The sequence below is a fragment of the Homo sapiens genome, chromosome 12 (genome assembly GCF_000001405.40).
Source record: "Homo sapiens chromosome 12, GRCh38.p14 Primary Assembly".
In the NCBI taxonomy this organism is placed as follows: domain Eukaryota; kingdom Metazoa; phylum Chordata; class Mammalia; order Primates; family Hominidae; genus Homo; species Homo sapiens.
Window position 1 is genome coordinate 45,849,826 of NC_000012.12, and position 23,765 is coordinate 45,873,590.

A 23,765-nucleotide genomic window follows, 5' to 3' on the forward strand; every position below is an offset into this window, starting at 1 on the left:
CTGAATGAAAAATATATATTCTATGCATTTTAAATGTATAACTTTTGTGTCTCCAGTAGCATTTTCTTACTTGGTCTATTACCATATTCATATGATTCAAAATTGTTAGATGTTAATTTCTTAAAACTATTTTCTCTTAAGTAAAATAATTCCTACTTGGGATTTTCAGTCATTTCATTTGGAATTTTGACGTTTTCTTCATATTTTCAGGAATCCCTCATGGATCACAAACCATAGGAAACCATTTTCAGAGGACTCCTGTTGCCAACCAATCTTCAAATCTGACTGCAACACAAATGTCTTTTCCTGTACAAGGTGTTCATACTGTGGCACAAACTGTTTCAAGAATTCCACAAAATCCTTCACCTCATACCCACCAGCAACAAAATGCTCCAGTGACTGTCATTCAAAGTAAAGCTCCAATTCCTTGTGAAGTTGTTAAGGCTACAGTTATCCAGAATTCCATACCCCAGACAGGAGTTCCTGTTAGTATTGCTGTTGGAGGAGGACCTCCACAGAGTTCTGTTGTTCAGAATCATAGTACAGGGCCACAACCTGTTACAGTTGTGAATTCTCAGACATTGCTTCACCATCCATCTGTAATTCCACAGCAGTCTCCATTACACACAGTGGTACCAGGACAGATCCCTTCAGGCACTCCTGTTACAGTAATTCAACAAGCTGTCCCACAGAGTCATATGTTTGGCAGAGTACAGAACATACCAGCATGTACTTCTACAGTTTCACAGGGTCAACAGTTAATCACCACATCACCCCAACCTGTGCAAACTTCATCTCAACAGACATCAGCTGGTAGCCAGTCACAAGATACTGTTATCATAGCACCCCCACAGTATGTAACAACTTCTGCATCCAATATTGTCTCAGCAACTTCAGTACAGAATTTTCAGGTAGCTACAGGACAAATGGTTACTATTGCTGGTGTCCCAAGTCCACAAGCCTCAAGGGTAGGGTTTCAGAACATTGCACCAAAACCTCTCCCTTCTCAGCAAGTTTCATCTACAGTGGTACAGCAGCCTATTCAACAACCACAGCAGCCAACCCAACAAAGCGTAGTGATTGTAAGCCAGCCAGCTCAACAAGGTCAAACTTATGCACCAGCCATTCACCAAATTGTTCTTGCTAATCCAGCAGCTCTTCCAGCTGGTCAGACAGTTCAGCTAACTGGACAACCTAACATAACTCCATCTTCTTCACCATCACCTGTCCCAGCTACTAATAACCAAGTCCCTACTGCCATGTCGTCGTCCTCTACCCCTCAATCACAGGGACCACCTCCTACTGTCAGTCAAATGTTATCTGTGAAAAGGCAGCAACAGCAGCAACATTCACCAGCACCCCCACCACAGCAGGTACAAGTACAAGTTCAGCAGCCCCAACAAGTACAGATGCAAGTTCAACCTCAACAGTCGAATGCAGGAGTTGGTCAGCCTGCCTCTGGTGAGTCGAGTCTGATTAAACAGCTTCTGCTTCCGAAACGTGGTCCTTCAACACCAGGTGGTAAGCTTATTCTCCCAGCTCCACAGATTCCTCCCCCTAATAATGCAAGAGCTCCTAGCCCTCAGGTGGTCTATCAGGTGGCCAGTAACCAAGCCGCAGGTTTTGGAGTGCAGGGGCAAACTCCAGCTCAGCAGCTATTGGTTGGGCAGCAAAATGTTCAGTTGGTCCCAAGTGCAATGCCACCCTCAGGGGGAGTACAAACTGTGCCCATTTCGAACTTACAAATATTGCCAGGTCCACTGATCTCAAATAGCCCAGCAACCATTTTCCAAGGGACTTCTGGCAACCAGGTAACCATAACAGTTGTGCCAAATACGAGTTTTGCACCTGCAACTGTGAGTCAGGGAAATGCAACTCAGCTCATTGCTCCAGCAGGAATTACCATGAGCGGAACGCAGACAGGAGTTGGACTTCCAGTACAAACGCTTCCAGCCACTCAAGCATCTCCTGCTGGACAATCATCATGTACTACTGCTACTCCCCCATTCAAAGGTGATAAAATAATTTGCCAAAAGGAGGAGGAAGCAAAGGAAGCAACAGGTTTACATGTTCATGAACGTAAAATTGAAGTCATGGAGAACCCGTCCTGCCGACGAGGAGCCACAAACACCAGCAATGGGGATACAAAGGAAAATGAAATGCATGTGGGAAGTCTTTTAAATGGGAGAAAGTACAGTGACTCAAGTCTACCTCCTTCAAACTCAGGGAAAATTCAAAGTGAGACTAATCAGTGCTCACTAATCAGTAATGGGCCATCATTGGAATTAGGTGAGAATGGAGCATCTGGGAAACAGAACTCAGAACAAATAGACATGCAAGATATCAAAAGTGATTTGAGAAAACCGCTAGTTAATGGAATCTGTGATTTTGATAAAGGAGATGGTTCTCATTTAAGCAAAAACATTCCAAATCATAAAACTTCCAATCATGTAGGAAATGGTGAGATATCTCCAATGGAACCACAAGGGACTTTAGATATCACTCAGCAAGATACTGCCAAAGGTGATCAACTAGAAAGAATTTCTAATGGACCTGTATTAACTTTGGGTGGTTCATCTGTGAGCAGTATACAGGAGGCTTCAAATGCGGCAACACAGCAATTTAGTGGTACTGATTTGCTTAATGGACCTCTAGCTTCAAGTTTGAATTCAGATGTGCCTCAGCAACGCCCAAGTGTAGTTGTCTCACCACATTCTACAACCTCTGTTATACAGGGACATCAAATCATAGCAGTTCCCGACTCAGGATCAAAAGTATCCCATTCTCCTGCCCTATCATCTGACGTTCGGTCTACAAATGGCACAGCAGAATGCAAAACTGTAAAGAGGCCAGCAGAGGATACTGATAGGGAAACAGTCGCAGGAATTCCAAATAAAGTAGGAGTTAGAATTGTTACAATCAGTGACCCCAACAATGCTGGCTGCAGCGCAACAATGGTTGCTGTGCCAGCAGGAGCAGATCCAAGCACTGTAGCTAAAGTAGCAATAGAAAGTGCTGTTCAGCAAAAGCAACAGCATCCACCAACATATGTACAGAATGTGGTCCCGCAGGTAAGTTATTCCATGATCACATTTCTCTTATGAAATTTCTGATCTGTAAATACAATTTTAGAGGGAAATGCACTGTTTTCCATGTCTCATCTTGAAAAGTTACTGTATCAGCTCACTTGTATCCAACCTGTCCTTTTCTTTTTCTCTGGTTTTGTAATATTAGTTTTCAATTTTAGCACATGATTTAAAGAATCTTTCAATTTTGTTATAGATCCAAATTAATAATTTTCTAGGCCCAAGGTAGAGAAGCAGTTGCTAATCTGACATCTTTTGGAGAATTTAAAAAATGTATCTTAATCTCCTTTTTGAGTTTACTGCACAAGTGTTGGGGGGAATGGGGGTCCTAAGAGTACTCTAAATGGGGATTTCTGTATTTGATTTTGACCTGAGTGTGTTTTTGTTGCCTCTTTAACAGTACTGTTGTAATAAGGATGAATCTTGTAATAACTTTATCAGTCGTATTCTTTTTGTATTTATGTATTGCATTAGTCTCCTTTAGTGTTAAAAAGTATTATTTATTGTAATTTCAATTTGTTTCAGATATTCTGATATTCTTTTCTGTTTCTTACTCCTTTGCTTTACTGTCCTATTCCTGCTATTCCCTTTTTAATGCCTAAGATTCCATCTCTGCATGCCTTAGTAAAAACAAGTATTTTCTAAAATCAGCACTACCAAGTTGAGGGTCCAATCAGGCTATGAGGATTTTAAGGACAATCTTATATGCTCTTTCCACTGAAATCATGGATTCTCTTAACAGTCGTCACCACCTGTTTCCTGGATCACTTTTCTTTCACTCTGTTCTTCCTAATTCCTACATAGCCAGAACCTTCTATGACTACTGCCAACTCTGCTGACACAGTTCTGGCTTGGGCTTCTGTATGGTTACGGTGATGACAGCAGATATATGGCTATTGTTGGCATTAGTGCCAAATCTAGGTGTGGGCAATAGCCAAATGGAAAGTACAAGAACAAAGGGAAGAGCCCCTTGCTTCAGAACTAGTAGAATAACTGACAGGTACCAGTCCGTGGCCCTTTAGGAACTGGGCCACACAGCCGGAGGTGAGCGGCAGGTGAGCGAGTGAAGCTTCATCTGTATTTACTTACAGCCGCTTCCCATCACTCACGTTATATCCTGAGCTCTGTCTCCTGTCAGATCAGTGGCAGCATTAGATTCTCGTAGGACCACAAGCCCTATCGTGAACTGTGCATGCGAAGGATCTAGGTTGCACGCTCCTTAGGAGAATCTAACGCCTGATGATCGGTCACTGTCTCCCATTCCCCAGATGGGACTGTCAAGTTGCAGGAAAACAAGCTCAGAGCCCCCAATGATTCTACATTATGGCAAGTTGTATAATTATTTCATTATATATTACAGTGTAATAATAGAAATAAAGTGCTTAATAAATGTAATGCGCTTGTATCACCCCAAAACCATCTCCTCACTCCCTGGTCTGTGGAAAAATTGTCCTCCATGAAACCGGTCCCTGGTGCCAAAAAGATTGGAGACTTCTGCTTTGAGGGATGTTATATACATGGCAATAATTAATCCTGAGTTATTGATGGAAAATACTGTATCATTTTTATTCAAGCTTCCACATGTTGAGCTTTCCACTTAAACACAATTTTTTAATTAGTGCAATGTGGAGTATATAGTAGATATTCCATAGTTAGGTTTTTTCTCTTATATTTAATAATTTCCCACTTCACCTTGATTATGTGCCTGTTACTCCTCTTAGAGACCTTTACAATCCTAAATAGTTATAACAGACCAAGCCAAATTAGAGAAAAACTCCATCTCCATCATTATGGAATTGTTTCACCAACACTCATTTTTTGTACCCTTAATCTTCCAATGTGGTTGTAGTCAGTAATATCACAATTACAAAGAATGAACAATAATACTAGCTAAGACGAGGACATGTCATAGGGACTTTATACTAAAGCAGTTTCTCATTTAATCCTCACACAACCTTATTAGGTAAAATTTATTATAAAGATGAGGACTCAAGATGGCTAGTAACTTGCCCAAGGTTACCAACTAATATGAGGTGGTACCAGGACAGAAACCTGGGTTTGTCTGAAACCAAAACTCATGCTCTTAACCCATTAACCTTTCTTCTTTCCACTGTTCTAGAAGATTTCTCTATAAAGCTCTAGAGAGCCTTTTTTTAATCTAACATATTGATTATTTGAGCTGTTGTGTTAGAGGATGTTCTATTAAATGATCATTTTAGGACATTATTGCTAAAACTCATTGGTTATTTGAGCTGTGGTGTTATGAGATGTTCTACTAAATGATAATTTTAGGACATTAATGCTAAAATGCTTTACTTAGCACATTGGACATATATGTAGTTAATTCAGGCCAAGAAATCAATACATTTTGTTCCTAATCTGAAAAATCTGTATTAAACTTTCTTACATTCTCACAAAGGATGTAGTTTATTTAAAATAGGTACATTCTTTATTTCTAAAACTGATATTTGGTTGTCTTATAGAAATTTAAAACTTTGCAAGGAAAAAGAGATGTAGCGTACATGATGTCTATGAGAATGAGAATAACAAAAACAGCATTCTTATATATAGCACTTAGCCCAGTGCCTGCTACATATATGGGCAGTTAGTAATGGGGAAGGTATGCTTTATCTTTTTATAGATGATGAAGTACCTATTGGGGCTAAATATTTTTAACAGACAAAAAAATTAACTGTTCAAGATGGCGTTATAAGTTTCTTTTGAAGAGAAGGTTGTTGGGCCTTCTGAAAAGCATGCTAATTAACAGAAAGCCATAACCATTATTGCCCCCATCCTTTTAATTTCTTTCTTTTTTGGGTGGGGAAGACAGGGGCTTACTCTGTTGACCAGGCTAGAGTGCAGTAGTGCAATCACAGCTCACTGCAGCCTCGACCTCCTTGGCTCAAGTAATCCTTCCACCTCAGCCTCCCAAGACTGTAGCTGGGAGCACAGGCATGTACTGCCATGCCCAGCTAATTTGTTTTATGTTTTATTTTTGTAGAGTTGGGATCTCCCTATGTTGCCCAGGCTGGTCTTAAACTCCTAGCAGACTTGAGTGATCCCCGCGCCTTGGCCTCCCAAAGTGCTGAGATTATAGGTGTGAGCCAACAGACCTGGCTTAAATTTCTTTATGTACTCTTTTTCTTTCTTCTTTTCTTTTTTTTTTTTTTTTTTTTTTTTTGAGACACAGTCTCGCTCTGTTGCGTAGGCTGGAGTGCGGTGGCATGATGTCAGCTCACTGCAACCTCTACCTCCCGGGTTCAAGCGATTCTTCCACCTCAGCCTCCTGAGTAACTGGAATTACAGGCCACCATGCCTGGCTGATTTTTGTATTTTTAATAGAGACTGGGTTTCACCATGTTGGTCAGGCTGGTCTCAAGCTCCTGACCTCGTGATCCGCCCACCTCGGCCTCCCAAAGTGCTGGGATTACAGGCGTAAGCCACCATGCCTGACTAAATTTCTTTATATACTCTTTAAAGTTGCATGTTAGACCTTGGTTTAATACCATTTTATTCACTATTTGAATTGGTAGCTTAAAGGAGTAGACAAAATAGAGGATTTTAATTGTGATTTTTTTTGGAGAAACCTTGTTATTCTACAATTTCAAGGGATCTAGGGATGTTAAGGAAGTACTTGCACCCTGATAAGGGATTTCCAGACTTGCAGAATGCCCAGGGCTGGAAAGAGCACAGGGAAGTCTCCTTGCCAAGAAGGAGCAACAAGTAATCCTTTCTAATGCCATTGTAATTCATTTTTTTTCTTCTCAGTTTTGTTTCTTCCAACCTCCATTAATCAGCTATATTAATTTTATTACAGAAAAAAATAGCAACAAGTAAAAAGAATCTATGTGAAAGTAAATGATATACCCATTGATTTTTATATTTAGTATTTAGCTGGGTAGTTTATATAAATATAAAATAAACTGTACCTACTTCAAGGCACATTTCTTTATTGGTAACTGCTTATTTCAAATGTAATACTTGCAAGTTGAAGCACAATTTATAGAATACTATTTCCAGAAGCCCTGCCCTGTTCCACTGTTCATGAATTGGTATCTGTTGGAAACATATTTGCTAAATGGCATACTAAAAATAAAAAAGAATTTATAAAATGAAAGAAACTTAGATACAAAAACTTAACATAAGACTTGGTTTTTTTTCAGGATCATACAAAATACATGTTGAACATAATCTGTTAGTTATCTGTTAATCCCATAATCTGATAACATGCCAAATTCTTATACATAAAAATAGTTTAAGGATATACATATTTAAGATATTTAACATATGCCTCGCCTCAATTCAGAGTGTAAATCATTCCTAATAATGGTACTGTGTAACATGGAATATTGGTATCTTACTGGTAAAGAGCTTGAGAAAGTTACTCAACCCATCAGAAAATAGATTGGTAGCCTCAGGCGGGGGCAGCATTTAGTTGTAGCCATAAAAGAACAGTTTAGCAAGAGCCACAAGAATATCACTTTTGTTTTTCTAAGAGTACTGCCACTCAGATTTGTAGACCAATAGCACATTATAAAACTAAGAAAAGTATTACATAACTTTTTTGTTTATATTTTAATGTGTTCTTATAAAGTAGTGTTGGCATGTATTGATGATCTAAATTTATACTTAATAAGAGGAAAAAACTTGGTAATTTAAGAAAATGAGGAAATGTTAGAGCTGAAGGGTCTCTGATATTATATCTTGGCCAAAACTCCTACTTTTAAGAGTTGAAGTGAATTGTCCACATTCACAAAAATCTCTTTTCCAGTGATTTCTATTACTGTCTTAATTCTCTTCTCTGAAGACTTATACATTTAGCTAAATGCATCTCTCTCTCTCTCCCTCTCTCTCTCTCTTTTTTTTAATACAGAGCCTCGCTCTGTTGCCTAGGCTGGAGTGCAGTGGCACACTCTTGGCTCACTGCAACCTCTGCCTCTTGGGCTTAAGCAATCCTCCTTCTTCAGCCTCCCGAGTGGCTGGCACTACAGGTGCACACTACCACACCTGTCTGATTTTTGTATTTTCTGTAGAGACCAGGTTTTGCCATGTTGCCCAGGCTGATCTCAAACTCCTGGGCTCAAGTGATCCTTCTGCCTTGGCCTCCCAAAGTGCTGGGATTATAGGCATGAGCCACCGTGCCTGGCCTAGCTAGAGGTATCTCTTATATCACATTCAGAGTAAATACAATTCTTGTTCCTTACAAGGTTTTGAAAGTGTCTTTCCTTCTCACCTCTTCTTTAGAATACTCTTTCCCAGTTTCTTCAGTATGGTTTTAGGTGTCATGGTGTCTGGTTTATTCACCATCCTGTTTATCTCAACCATAGAAGATACAGCTACTCAGGAGGCTGAGGTGGGAAGATTGCATGAGCCCAGGAGTTCAAGGCTGCAGTGAACTGTGATCACGCCATTGCACTCCAGCCTGGGTGACAGAGCAAAACCCTATCTAAAAAAAAGAAAGAAAGAAAGAAACTTTCCTTTTATACTTTCCTTGCTCTTTAACCCCTCCTCCCATGCCACTTTCTCACCATCAGAGTTCTATGGCTTTTAGAATTTGCAGGTGAATGGTTTTCAGATTTATTTTTCCAACATTAACTTCTATTGATAGACATTTTTAGTTCGTTCATCTGTCATTATTCCCAAACTAAACCGATCATCTTTCCTCTGAAATATGGTTTCCTATTATTGCCATTTATTGAGACTCTTGAGCTAGGCTTCTCATTTATAGTTTCTCTAGTCTTCCCATCATCTCATAAGTTAGTTTTTATTACTTACACTTTACAGATGAGAAAACTGAGGATCAGAGAGGTTAAGTCGGTAGCCCAAGATCACATGGCTAGTAAAAATCAGATTGAAAGTGTGAGTCCTGATCTGTCAAGCTGGAAAATCCTCATCCTATTTGTGATATCTCTACGGCCCTAAAATGTTTTTGGTGCATGTGTATGTTTTCTTATTGTAAAATCTTAAGAGTGGGAACCTATTATAGAAATGTCAGTCTTGAAGTAGATTTTTCCCTCAGAGCTTAGAACTCAAAAGTTCTTGACTTCCCATTTCTGACAACTTTGTCTTTCAACATGTTATTCTCTTCCTTCTTTCATTTGTATGTCATAGTAGCCTTGTATGTTTGTGATTTATCTTTTTTTCTAAAGAAAATTACTGTGGCTTTTAATCTAAGTTCTCAGCAATTTTAGCTTACTGCTTTCCCACCTATTGCCAGTACAGTCATGTGCTACTTAAGGACATTTCTGTCAAGGATGGACCACATAATACAACAATAGTCTCATAAGATCATAATATTGTTTTCACTGTACCTTTTCTATGTTTTGATACACAAATACTTAACCATTGTGTTACGGTTGCCTATAGTATTCGGTACAGTAACATGCTATACAGATTTTTAGCCTAGGAGCAATAGGCTATTCCATATAGCCTAGGTATGTAGTAGGCTATATCATCTAGGTTTGTGGAAGTACACCGTATGGCATTCACAGAACAATGAAATGTTCTGTGACCCATTTCTCAAACATATTCCTGTCATTAAGTGATGCACGACTGCATTACCTTATAAATGAACAAGTATATTCAATGTTTTCCCAGAGTTTTAATTTACTGCCTTTAAGCAGTTCTTCAAAAATAATGTACTACCATTTCTATAAGAAATTTAACATTAATTTTTCCCTTTGTGGTATTTCAAGAAAATATATTGCCTAAATTTGATTTAAGGTACATTTTGATTATTAGTGTTTTTTCCAAGAGAAAGGGATGGGATCTAAAAGAAAAAAATTATAGGATATATTTAAAAGACTTTATGCCTACAATTAGAATTATTATTTTTTCTTTTGAGACAGAGTCTCCTCTTTCACCCAGGTTGGAGTGAAGTGGAGCGATCTCAGCTCACTGCAACCTCTGCCTCCCGGGTTCAAGTGATTCTCCTGCCTCAGCCTCCCAAGTAGCTGGGATTACAGGCGCCTGCCACCACGCCTGGCTAATTTTTGTTTTTAGCAGAGATGGGGTTTCGCCATGTTGGCCAGGTTGGTCTCGAACTCCTGACCTCAGGTGATCCACCCCCCTGGGCCTCCCAAAGTGCTAGGATTACAGGCATGAACCACCGTGCCCAGCCTAGAATTCTTACATAAATAACAAAAGATATAATTAGACTGGGGGCTGGATGTGGCAGCTCATACCTGTAATGCCAGCACTTTGGGAGGCCAAAGGGGGAGGATGGCTTGAGGCCAGTAATTTGAGATTATAGTGAGCTATGATTATGCCTCTGTAACCTGCCCAGGCAACAGAACAAGACCGACCCTGTCTCTAAAAATAACAAAAATACATAATTGAGCAACTTCAAAATCTAAAATTGTTAAGCAGCTTACTGCAAATTAGTTAATATCATATTTTATACATATGGTTACATCATTATTGCTATCTAAAATTTTCATTGCTTTTTACCATATTGTTTCACATTATATTCTTTAGAAAATCTAAAAGTAAACATACAAAAAAGTAGTAACTTGCAGTTGATCTGTTCTTGTGAAGAATTCACATAAGTAAATCCAATGGGTACATTTATAGTATATTTATTTCTCATTTAAATCTACAATTGTATTGTTTCATCCTAAAAATCTTTATTTTAAATAATATATATTTTATAGTGGTAATAACAATGTGGTATTACCTTCGTGGTTTTATATTAAATAAAATAAACTTTCTAAATATTTCTATAAAAATAATTTTTAAAGATTTTAAAGGTAATCATAAGCTTAAAATTATAAAATGTAAATTTTATGGTAGAAATGTATAACAACATAATCAAATTTATAAGACTATACTATAAAATATGAATTTTTTCAGTGTCATGTCACAAACTCTGCATTTGTTCTTTTTCACAGAACACTCCTATGCCACCTTCACCAGCTGTACAAGTGCAGGGCCAGCCTAACAGTTCTCAGCCTTCTCCATTCAGTGGATCCAGTCAGCCTGGAGATCCAATGAGAAAACCTGGACAGAACTTCATGTGTCTGTGGCAGTCTTGTAAAAAGTAAATGGCAATTTTATTTGATATATAAAAGTATTCTTTGTTTTGGAATGCTTTTATATTTAAGTTTCTGTCATCTATAGTTGCATGAAAATTTTCCTTTAGAACCACTAACTTTAGCGAAACTACAAGAGTTATATTTATGATCCATTATGTGGACCTAAACTAAGAAATTTATATATAAGTGATGGAAAGAACTTCATTGCTTAATGGTACGTTGTAGAGAATACGGTTCAATATTTGTTTTCAGTAAAGAAAATCAATTAAGAATTTAATTATATATTTGGCTGTTAAAAGCTTTTTTTTGTTGTTTTTGTCGTTTTTAAGTGGCTTGAACTTAGTGGCAGCTATAGTATTTCCATATAGTAGAAACTTAGAAGTAATAATGTGCTAGAAAGAGAATGACTTGTCTTGAATTTGAGTTTGGGATGGATACCTATGAAAATTATTTTTAAAGCCATACCATCTTACAATTTAATTAAGATGAACTTTTGAAATAAACCTTTCTTAGACTTGAAGGAAAACTTGAAAAGAATGTTGGTTAAAATAAAAATCTTAATTCCTTTGACAGTACTTAGGTAAGACCTTTTGCCTTCAGTCATTTTTTTAGAGGTCTAGGACTAAGGCATTTGTCTTTTTTTTTTTTTTTTTTTTTGGAAACAGAGTCTCGCTCTGTTGTTCAGGCTGGAGTGCAGTGGCGCTATCTCCACTCACTGCAACCTCCACCTCCTAGGTTCAAGCAATTCTTTTGCCTCAGCTTCTTGAGTAGCTGGGATTACAGGCATGTGCCACCATCCCTGGCTAATTTTTGTTTTTTTTTTCACCACGTTGGCCAGGCTAGTCTGGAACTCCTGACCTCCAGTGATCCCTCTGGCCTCGGCCTCCCAAAGTGCTGGGACTACAAGCGTAAGCTACTAAGCCCTGCCAGCATTTGTTTTAATAGACATAACACTGTTCATTTTTTAGATATCAAAGATTCCATTTCACTCTTCATAATTAATAGCAGAAATTACCATATCTTTTACAAGCTATCTTTGCTATTCATATTTTTGTGATATAGATATTATACTTTATTGTAAACTTCATATACAGATTTTTTATATGATTATGGCTACCTGTGTAGCCTAGGGATTATTAATAGTATGCAAAATATCTATAGGATAGCAATGATCAAACTGTAACTCTCAACCCAGTAGTGGGACTGTGGATCATTTTAGTAGGTTTTTGTTTGTTTTTCTTTTCAATGAAAAAATTAAATATATCATAGTTCACCATGTTAGCAAGGGTAAATATTGTTTTCAGTTATATATATGTGACCTATATATGTGTATTTGATCATAGTATAAAATCTATTTGTCAAAAAAATTCTTTAAAAATCAGTCCTTTAGGTTGTTTCCTTCATTCATTGAAGGATTATTTCCTTCATTCATTTAATTTGACCATCTCTTTCTTTTTAAGGTGTATGTTTGTAAGTTAATTTGAAACTTTCTTCACTGCATGCCAATTTTACTCTCTCCATTTGTCTTGAGATTTTTGTTTTTTTCATGGCAAATAGTAGTTGATGGAATGGGTAGTGTGCTAAAGGTGTTTGTTAACTTTTCAAAAAGTTTACGAAGCTTGTCGCAGTGGTGCACTCCTGTAGCCCCAGCTGCCCAGGAAGGCTGAGGCAGGAGGATCGCTTGAACCTAGGAATTCGAGTCTAGCTTGGGCAACATGGTGAGACCTCATGTCTAAAAAGATAAAAATAAAGAAGTTTAAGCATAACTGCTTTAGATGAAGTGTTTAGGTTACTTCAAGATAAGTTGCCGGAAGAGTTAATGAACCTAGATGTCTGACAGTTTCCCATCTTGCTAATAGATCAGTGTTACATAATTTGATGATTTACCTTTTTCTTGCTAGTCTTTTCTAAACAAGACAGATTAAACAGGGCTTCTTAGAGCATGCCATTTTTTTTTTATCCATAGCTTTTCACTACTGCATTGCTAATAAGTTTAGTTTTAGTCTGCAAATATTTGTTAAGCATCCTCTACGAGGGTGCATGTGCCAGAAGATAGAAATACAAAAATCACTCCCAGTCCTGAGGGACACAGACCAAAAAACAAATAAATTACAGTATAAGTAAGTACTGTAAAAAAGATAGTTTCATAGTGCTGTTTGCAACATATTGGACAATTTAACTTTGAGATGGTTGGAGAGTTTTACTACAAGCATTACATTTTAGTTGAGTCTTAAAGAATGAGTAGGAATTTTTCATGCTAAAATAAACCTGTCAGAATGTTAAGAGCAAGCACAGGAGTGTAAAAGGACCTTGTATGTCCAGGAAACTGTGAGAAGTTAGGATACTACAAGCATAACGACATGAAAAGAGAAATGGCTCTTATTCATATTTAGTTCCAGTTCCAAGTAGGAACATATATATGATAGCCATTGACCACTAAGTGGCTGTTCTGATTTCTTTAATATCATATCAAAAATACTAGTAAAGAACTTTATGCTGGGCATGGTGGCTTGAGCCTGTAATGCCAGCTACTCGGGATGCTGAGAACTGGAGAATCTCTTGAGCCCAGGACTTCAAGGCTACAGTGAGCTATGATTGCATCATTGCACTCCAGCCTCGGTTATAAAGTAAGACACTGTCTCTTTTTAAAAAAAAAACAAACCAGAAAACTTTCTTTGTTTCCATCAGATTTAAAGCTAAAATTATTTTCTTTACCTATATATTATTGTAAACTGCTTTGTATTTAAAGTTGAAATAGCTATGTGCTCTCTTCCTTTTAAGGACTTAAAAGTGACTTTGAGTATACATTTAACCTGTTCTTAGTTCTGTATTGGCACCACACTTTATGTAGTCTTTTTGTATTTATAATTCTCCTTTTTTTTTCTTTTTCTTTTTCTTTCCCTTTTTTTTTTGTTTTTTTTTTGAGACACAGTCTCACTATGTCACCCAGGCTTCTATGCAGTGGTGCTATCTTGATCTTGGCTCATTGCAACCTCTGTCTTGTGAGCTCAAGCCATCCTCCCACCTCAGCCTCCAAAGTGACTGAGACTACAGGTGCATGCCGCCACACCAAGCTAATTTTTGCATTTTTTTATACAGACAGGGTTTTGCCATGTTGCCAAGGCTGTTCTCGAACTCCTGAACTCAAGTGATCTGCCCACCTCAGCCTCCCAAAGTGCTGGGATTACAGGCATGAGCCATAATTCTCCTTTTAGATGTATAATATAGATTCTTTTCAGTAAGCCCCACTCCCTCTTATATCATCACATATTGATGCTTGGTTTTTTGATCTGTAAGCATTTATCTCTAAAAGTTAGGGACCTCACTCTTTAGATATAAATACTATATACCACCACCACCACCATACTCCTACAGAAAAAAATTAATTCCCTTCAATATTATGATTTCTTCTTATATCCTGTCAGTGTTTACATTTCTCCAGTGGCCTTTTGTTTAGAGTTTGAATTGGAATGTAAGGTTCAAACATTGCCTCTGGTTGATAAGTCTTAAATCTCTTTTAATCTGTTAGATTACCCCTCCATCCCTCTTAATTTTTTTTTCTTTGCAAGTTTTTGTTGAAAAAAAAAAAACAGGTTAATTTGTCCTATAGAGCATTACAATCTGGATTTTCCTGATACTGTTTAGCATGTTACTCTGACCTTGTATTTTCTGTACATTGGTAGTTTGGTCCAAATATTTGATCAAGTTCTGGTTTCACTATATGAAGACCACTTCAGAAATGATATTGTGTACTTCCATCAGGAGATATGTAATATCTTCTTGTCTCTTTTTGTGATATAAACAGCCTTTAAGGATCATTGTTCAGAACATTATTTCATTAAGGTTTGTAAAATATAAAAGACCCCCTTTTATCAGTCATTTGCCTTCTTTGAGGAATAGTTCCTACAGGAAAGGCAAGATAGATGCTTGGATATTTCCCTTATTTACCAGTTTTCAAAATAATGAGTTGCTCACTATCACCCTGCAAAAGTTACCATGAGGTTTGGTTTTTGTTTATTTTGTTTGTAGTATTACTGTGAGCTAACAGGAATTTAAACATATTTGAGATATTTCAGTCAATTGAGGTTATGTATCCTTCTTGGTATACAAATTGTGCCATTTTCGGTCAGTGAAAGCCTCTTCAAGTGGATTTCCCAGGTCCTTTGGTTGTGACCTTAATATAAGTGTTTGATAGTTTTCCTGCTCTCTGATAGGCAAGATAGTCTGTGTGTTTATACTGATTCTTGGAATTTAGATTAAGTACAACAAGGTTTTTACTTCGTTTTATCATTTTCACACCTGTACCTTCTTTCTCCCACACCAAAAATCCCATTTCTCAATATTGTTAAGAATTTATTCTTTGTCCTATGTCATACTCCAAAAAAAATGTTGTCTGCTGTGGTATAACTTGAAAAGGTTTTTCTCATTTTTTCAATTAATCATTTGTCTTTTAAAGTAAACAGACAAATGATTGTCTTTTTACAATCATTTGTAAAAGAAAACAAAGTAACCCTTTGTTTTTTGTTATTTTGTTTGTTTTTGTCCTAGATGAAGGGTTTTTTTCTTTCAATTAATTTTTCTGTAAACAAATTTATTAGGTTTTTCATTATTGCTTCAGGATCTGGATTATAGTTAGGAAGGCTTTCTCTGTGCCCAAATTGTAGAAGAACCCCCATGTTTTTATTTAGAACTTATGTGATTTTTTAGTTTCCATTTAAATCTTATATTTTGGTATTTTTCCCTGTGTCAGTAATCTGGTCTTAAGGAAATGAGGGTAAGTCAGTGACTTTTTTCTTCAATTTGTCACTGTAACTTTCTTTTCTCATACTATAAGAGTAGTTTATTCTAAGAAAAATGAGAGTCACAGTGGATATTTTGGGCTTCAGCACTGTCCAGTGGGACAATCCAAACTAGTTTCATCAGATGCTACTCAAGACTCTTAACAAAAGTGATTCCACAATATTTTCATAATTGTTTTTCTTATTTTAAAATTATATTTCTAGCTTTTAAAAAATTTAAATTCCAAAAATAGCGTTATCAGAAGATAACCATGGTTGTAAGTTTGGTATGTGTCTTTACAAACCTTTTTCATATACAGCTATACTATATTGTACATGAAAAGTATACATGTATACTTTGTTTCTTATTTTAAACTATATATACTGATCTAGAGCTTGCTTCAATAATATATGTAATACTCATTAATATGACTATATATATATACTTTTTATGTCAATACATAGATTTACTCATTCTTTGTATTGAATACCAATAATTCCCTTTTATTGCACTGTCTTTGTTATCTGCATTGGTAAATAGAACTGCTCGTCCTTTTTTTGACAGGATTACTCTTGAATTATGAGGACACATTTCTTTCCATAAATAAGATGCAATGATCCTGCACTATAGTCTGTTAACTATATCTCATATTAAGGGTATTTAGGATTTTAGTTATTTGCTATTACATATGAACAGAACTGTGGTGAATAATTTCGTTTCCATAGCACATTTTCTACAAGTATTTCAGTAGAATAAAATACCAAATTGGGAATTGCTGAGTCAGGGGATTTACATGTTTTTATTTTTGTAGAAGTACCATCTAAAAATGTTAACTTGTAATTCAAATAATAGAATATGAGCTTGTTTCCCACTACCTGGCTACTCAAAACTGAGGGGAAATTTCTTTGCTGATCTGATAGCCTCAAAAAGACTGTCAATTTTTATTCTTTTGTTATTTTAACTTTTTAAATAGACTATTTTGAGAGCAATTTTAGGTTTACAACAAAATTGAATGGCAAATACAGAGTGTTCCTATATAGCACTGCCCCACAAATATTACATCTTTATAGGAATGGTACATTTGTTATAACTGGTTAACCTACATTGACACATCATTATCACCCAAAGTCCATTGTTTACATTAAGATTTGCTCTTGACATTGTACATTCTGGGGGTTTTGTTTTGTTGGGTTGTTTTGTGAAGTTTGTTGTTGTTGTTGTTGTTGTTGTTGTTGTTGTTGTTTGGAGATGGAGTCTTACTTCATCACCCAGGCTGGAGTGCAGTGGGGTGATCTCGGCTCACTGCAACCTCCACCTCCCAAGTTCAAACGATTCTCTTGGCTCATCTTCCTGAGTAGCTGGGACTACAGGTGCGTGCCACCATGCCCAGCTAATTTTTGTATTTTTAGTAGAGATGGCATTTCACCATGTTGGGAAGGCTGGTCTTGAACTCCTGACCTCCTGATCCACCCACCTTGGCCTCCCAAAGTGCTGGGATTACAGGCATGAGCCACTGCACCCAGCCTGTTGTTACTTGTTTGTTTTCTGAGACAAGGTCTTGTTCTGTCATCCATGCTAGAGTTTAGTGGGATGATCACAGTTCACTGTAACCTCAACTTCCTGAGCTCAAGTGATCCCTCCCGCCTCAGCCTCCTGAGTAGCTAGGACTACAGATGTGACCACCACACCCACCTAATTTTAACTTTTTTCTAAGCTAATTTTAAAATTTTCTGTGCTGGCCGGGCGCAGTGGCTCATGCCTGTAATCCCAGCACTTTGGGAGGCCGAGGCGGGCTGATCGTGAGGTCAGGAGATCGAGACCATCCTGGCTAGCACAGTGAAACCCCGTCTCTACTAAAAATACAAAAAAATTAGCCGGGCATGGTGGCGGGCGCCTGTAGTCCCAGCTACTCGGGAGGCTGAGGCAGGAAAATGGCATGAACCCTGGAGGCGGAGCTTGCAGTGAGCCCAGATCGCGCCACTGCACTCTAGCCAGGGCAACAGAACGAGACTCCATCTCAAAAAAAAAAAAAAGAAAAAAAAACTTCTGTACAGATGGGGTCTTACTATGTTGCCTAAGCTGGTCTTGAACTCCTGGTCTCAAGCAATTCTCCCACCTTGGCCTCACAAAGGGTTGGGATTACAGGCATGAGCCACTGCACCTGACCACTCTATGGGTTTTGACAACTATTAATATAATAACATGTGTCCACCATTACAGTATACAGAATAGTTTTATTGCCCTAAAAATCTTTTGTATTCTGCCTCTTCATCTTACCATTCCCCAGCTCCTGTTTTAATTTTTATTTCAAGTATTGAGTTAAATATCTTTATGATTTTCTTCTGTGAATTATCTACTCGTGTCATTTGCTCATTCTTTATTGCCCTTCCTAAAAATTTGCAATACTTCTCTGTACATTAAGGATGTCAACTCTTGGCCAGGCGTGGTGGCTCACACCTGTAATCCCAGCACTTTGAGAGGCCAAGGCAGGCAGATCACTTGAGGTCAGGAGTTCGAGACCAGCCTGGCCAACATGGCAAAACCCTGTCTCTACTAAAAATACAAAAATTAGCTAGGCATGGTGGCGGGTACCTGTAATCCCAGCTACTTGGGTGGCTGAGGCACGAGAATCGCTTGAACCCAGGAGGCAGAGGTTGCAGCAAGCCGAGATTGTGCCACTGCACTCCAGCCTGGGTGACAAAGCGAGACTCTGTCTCAAAGAGGAAAAAAAGAAGGATATCATCTCTTTATTATGTGTCCACCCCACGTCTCGAGACTTTAGCCATATTTTGCTACATAAAATTTAAATCTTAATGGTTTTCATGTCGTGCTTAGAAAGACCTTTTCAACTTTTATATCATAAAATGCACATTTTTTGCTTTGTAATACATTAATATTTTTACTTTTTGATTAATTTGTAATTTAGCTTGATGTATAAAATGAGGTATGAGCCTAGCTTAATTATTTTCCAAATGGCTAACTTATTGGCAATCATCTTTCCCTCAGACATTTGAATTGCCACCTTTGTCATATACTAATCCTATAAATGCTGTGCCTATTTCTGGATCACTTGTTATCCCCTTGATCTCTGTCCTTATTACACTATCACTTTAAATGTATTTTAACTTTGGACATGGCAGTTTGCCCCTGCTGATTCTTCGCAGTTTTTTATGATTTATTTGAGCAACTACTTTATACTAGGCACTGTGCCGGGTTTTGAAATTAGAGTGATGTATAAATCAGATTTATTTCTCGAGATTGCCAAGAAAGGCATGTTGGGATTTGGGTTGCAATTGCTTTTTGTTTTTTTTTTTGAGATGGAGTCTCGCTGTGTCACCCAGGCTGGAGTACATTGGCAAGATGTTGGCTCACTGTAACCTTCGCCTCCCAGGTTCAAGCGATTCGCCTGCCTCAGCCTGAGTAGCTGGGATTACAGGCACGTGCCACCATGCCCAGCTAATTTTTGTATTTTTAGTAGGGACAGGGTTTCACCATATTGGCCAGGCTGGTCTCGAACTCCTGAGCTCGTGATCTGCCTGCCTCGGCCTCCCAAAGTGCTGGGATTACAGGCGTGCGCCACCGTGCCCGGCCGCGATTGCTTTTAATGAACAGTTTTTTGTTTATTTTTTGATAGTGAGCACTTTTTTTTAGATTTCCCTTACTGGAAAAGGTATCAGCCCATGTTATTACTTTTTTTTTTCCAATAGAGCTTCTTGACTTTTCTTCGCATGAATTTTGTACTTTATTAAGTTTATTGCTAGGTGGTAGTCTTATATTTAGTTGTTATAAATGATCTCAACTTCCATTATATTTTTCAACTGATAGGTGTTTTCTATATTTATACTTCATATTTTGTCTTATCCAATTATAATGTCTAGGCCAGGTGTCGTGGCTCATGCTTGTAATTTCAGCACTTTGGGAGGCCGAGGCAGATGGATCACTTGAGGTCAGGAGTTTGAGAACAGCCTGGCCAATATGGTGAAACCCCGTCTCTACTAAAAATGTGAACATTAGCCAGGCGTGGTGGCGGGCGACTGTAATCCCAGCTAATAAGGAGGCTGAAGCAGGAGAATTGCTTGAACCGGGGAGGTGGAGGTTGCAGTGAGCTGAGATCATGCCATTGCATTCCAGCCTGTGTGACAGAGCAAGATTCCACCTCAAAAACAAAACAAAACAAAAACAAACAAACAAGTCTAATGTTTTCAGCACAATTGCACAATAGTGATAATATTCATCCATATCTTTTTTAAAGCTAATAAACCATTTTTTTTGTTGTTGTTGAGACAGACTCTTGCTCTGTCATCCAGGCTGTAGTGCAGTGGCGCGATCTCGGCTCACTGCAAGCTCCGCCTCCTGGGTTCACGCCATTCTCCTGCCTCAGCCTCCTGAGTAGCTGGGACTACAGGCGCCCGCCACCATGCCCTGCTAACTTTTTTTGTATTTTTAGTAGAGAACGGGGCTTCACTGTGCTAGCCAGGATGGTCTCGATCTCCTGACTTCCTGATCCACCCTCCTCGGCCTCCCAAAGTGCTGGGATTACAGGCGTGAGCCACTGTGTCCGGCCAAAACCACGTTTTTTTAGAGCAGTTTTAGGTTTATGGAAAAATCGAGCAGACAGAATAGAGTTCCCATATCTCCGTCCTCCCTGCACACAGTTTCCACTATTATTGACACCTTGCATTAGTGTGGTACACATGTGATAATTGATGAGCCAATATTGATACACTAGTATTAACTAAAGTTCATAGTTTACATTCAGATTCATCCTTTCTACAGTTCTGTGGGTTTTGACAAATGCGTAATGTCATGTCTCCAACATTACAGTAACATGCAGAGTACCTTCACTACACTAAAAATCCATTTTGCTTTACCTATTTATTCCTCCTCACCCCCTCCCTCGCCCCCAGTTCCTGGCAGCCACTCATTTTTTTTACTATTTCTATAGTTTTCATTTTTCCAGAATGTAATATAGTTGGAATTATTCAGCAGTATCCTTTTTAATCTGGTTTCTTTCACTTAGTAATATGCACATAAGTTTTCTCCATGTCTTCTTATTGTTGGATAGCTCATTTCTTTTTATTTCTGTATAATATTTTATTATACAGATGTACATAGTTTGCTTATCCATTCGTCTATTGAACAGTGTCATAATTGCTTCCAATTACTGGCAATTTTGAACTAAGGTGTTATAAACATTTATGTGTAAGTTTGTGTGGATGTAGTTTTTCAACTAACTCATTTGGGCAAACACCTAGGATTATAATTGCTGGATCATATGATAAAGACTATGCTTAACATTGTAAGACACTGTGAATCTGTCTTCCAAAGTGTCTGTACGATTTTGTATTCCTACCAGCAGTGAATGAGAATTTTGTTGCTTCATATCCTTGCCAACATTTAGTTTTGTCAGTGTTTTAGATATGAGCCATTCTGATAGGTGTGTGTTGGTATATCTGTTAATTTCTAGTTCCCTAAAAACATATGATGCTGAGCATCTTTTTGTTTGTTTATTTACCATATGTATATCTTTTTGGTGGGTGTCTATTCAGATATTTAACCCATTTTTAATTTGGTTGTTTGCTGAGAGCTTTTGGCATGAGTAGATAATGGATTATGTCAAATGCTTTTCTGCGTCTATTGCTATGATCATATGATTTTTATTTTTTGTCTTGTGAATGTGATGGATTACTTCAATTTTTGCTTCAACCAGCCTTGTGTCCCTGTAATAAATTTTACTTTGTCATGGCATATATTTCTTTTTTATGCATTGTTTGATACAATTTGCTAATATTTTTCCTGAGGATGTTCTCCTCTATATTCATGCAAGATTCTGGGATGTAGTTTTCTTGTAATGTCTTTGTCTGATTTTGGTAATAGGGTTATGCTGTCCTCATAGAATAAGTTAGAAAGTGTTCCCTCTGCTTCTATTGTCTGGTAGGGAGTAGGGATTGTAGAGAATTTATATCATTCCTTCCTTTAATTATTTGTTGTGAATTCAGCAGAGAAACCTGTGGTCCTGGTACTTTCTGTTTTGAAGGTTATTAATTATTGATTCAATTTCTTTAATAGTTACAATGTTATTCAGATTATCTGTTGCTCCTTGAGTGAGTTTTGGCAGATTGTGTCTTTCAGGGAATTGGCCGATTTCATCTAAGTTATCAAATATGTGAGCATAGAGATATTTCTGTTTCTTTATTAGCATCCTTTTAATGTCCATGGGATTGGTAGTAATGGTCCCTTTTTCATTTCTGATATTAATGATTTGTATCTTCTGTTATTTTTTCTTGGTTAGGTTAGCTACAGGTTTATGTATTTTATTGAATTTTTTTTCCCCCAAAGAACCAGCTTTTGGTTTTGTTAAATTTTTTTCTTTCTGTTGATTTCCTGTTTTCAGTTTCATTAATTTCTGCTCTTTTATTATTTTTTTTCTTCTGCCTGCTTTGGGTTTAATGTGCTCTTCTTTGTCTAGTTTCCTAAGGTAGAAGCTTGCATTATTATTTTAGATCTTTCTTCTTTTTTAGTATATAAGTTCAATGCTAAAGCCTTCCCTCTAAGTACTACTTTTACTATATCCAGAAATTATGATTATGTTGTATTTTCATTTTCCTCTAGTTCGAAATATTGCAAAAATGTGTTATTTAGACTCCAAATGTTTTTGGTATTTTCTAGCTATCTTTTTGTTATTGATTTCTCTATTAATCTGTTCTCACACTGCTTTAAGGACATACCCGAGACTGGGTAACTTATAAAGAATAAAGGTTTAATTGACTCACAGTTTTGCATGGCTGGGAAGGCCTCAGGAAAGCAACAATCATGACAGAAAGGGAAGTAAACACGTCCTTCACATGGCAGCAAGAGAGAGAAGTGCCAAGCAAAGAGGGGAAAAGTCCCTTATAAAATCGTCAGATCTCGTGAGAACTCACTCACTATCAGGAGAACAGCAGCACGGGCGTAACCGCATGGGTGGGGACACAGCCAAACCATATCAATTACTATTTAATTCCATTGTGGTTTCAGAGTATACATATGATTTCTATTCTTTTAAATTTGCTAAGGTGTGTTTTATGTCCCAGATTGTGGTCTATCTTGGTGGATGTTCCATGTGAGCTTGAGAAGAATATATTGTTGGATGAAGTATTCAGTAAATATCAATTAGATCCAGTTGATTGATGGTGCTGTTCAATTCAACTATATCCTTACTGATTTTCTGCCTATTGGATCTGTCAATTACTGATAGAGGTATGTTGAAGTCTTCAACTATAATAGTGGATTTGGTTCTTTCTCTTTGCAGTTCTATCAGTGTTTGACTCACATGTTTTGATGCTTTATGTTCAGTACATATATCTTAAGGATTGCTATATCTTCTTGGAGAAGATTGTTAGGTTTTCTTTATCATTATGTAATGCCCCTCTTGATCCACGATAATTTTCCTTGCTCTGAAGTCTGCTTTGTCTGAAATAATTATTGCCACTCCAGCTTACTTTTAATTAGTGTTAATATAGTTTATCTTTCTCCATCCCTTTACTTTTAATCTGTGTCTTTATTTTAACAATACATAGTTGGGTCTTATTATCCTCTCTGTCTTTTAATTCGTGTATTTAGATCATTCTCATTTAATGTGATTTTCACTGTAGTTGCATTGATAGCTATCATATTTGTAAATGCACTTGTTCTTTTTCTGCTGTCCCATTTTTCTGCCTTCTCTGATGTTAGCTGAGCACTTTTTATGTTGCCATTTTCTCCCCTTTCTTCGGATATCAATCATATTTCTTTAACTTTTTCATTTGTGGTTATTTTAGAGTTTGCAGTATACATTTATAGTTAATCTAAGATGACTTTCAAACAATAGTACAGGCATACCTCAGAG

At 37.4% G+C, this 23,765-nt stretch overlaps 1 protein-coding gene across 3 annotated transcripts in view, besides 1 other annotated feature; it reads left to right on the top strand.

Annotated features, from left to right (window-relative positions):
- Positions 1-23,765, top strand: part of ARID2 (AT-rich interaction domain 2) — a 178,332-nt gene that overhangs the window by 120,120 nt on the left and 34,447 nt on the right. For 2 of the 3 annotated variants that reach the window (NM_152641.4, NM_001347839.2), the window contains exons 15-16: positions 211-3,071; positions 10,976-11,124. In NM_152641.4, the coding sequence (NP_689854.2) occupies positions 211-3,071; positions 10,976-11,124 (3,010 nt within the window). Of the gene's footprint in view, positions 1-210; positions 3,072-4,354; positions 4,413-10,975; positions 11,125-23,765 lie in introns of those variants that run through there. The other variant, XM_047428489.1, reaches the window with a different exon arrangement.
- Positions 8,248-8,448: a silencer, noted in NCBI's record as "peak1713 fragment used in MPRA reporter construct". NCBI's record gives its function as "represses an SCP1 promoter by STARR-seq MPRAs in K562 erythroleukemia cells {active_cell/tissue: K562}" and the evidence as "EXISTENCE:reporter gene assay evidence [ECO:0000049][PMID:32103011]".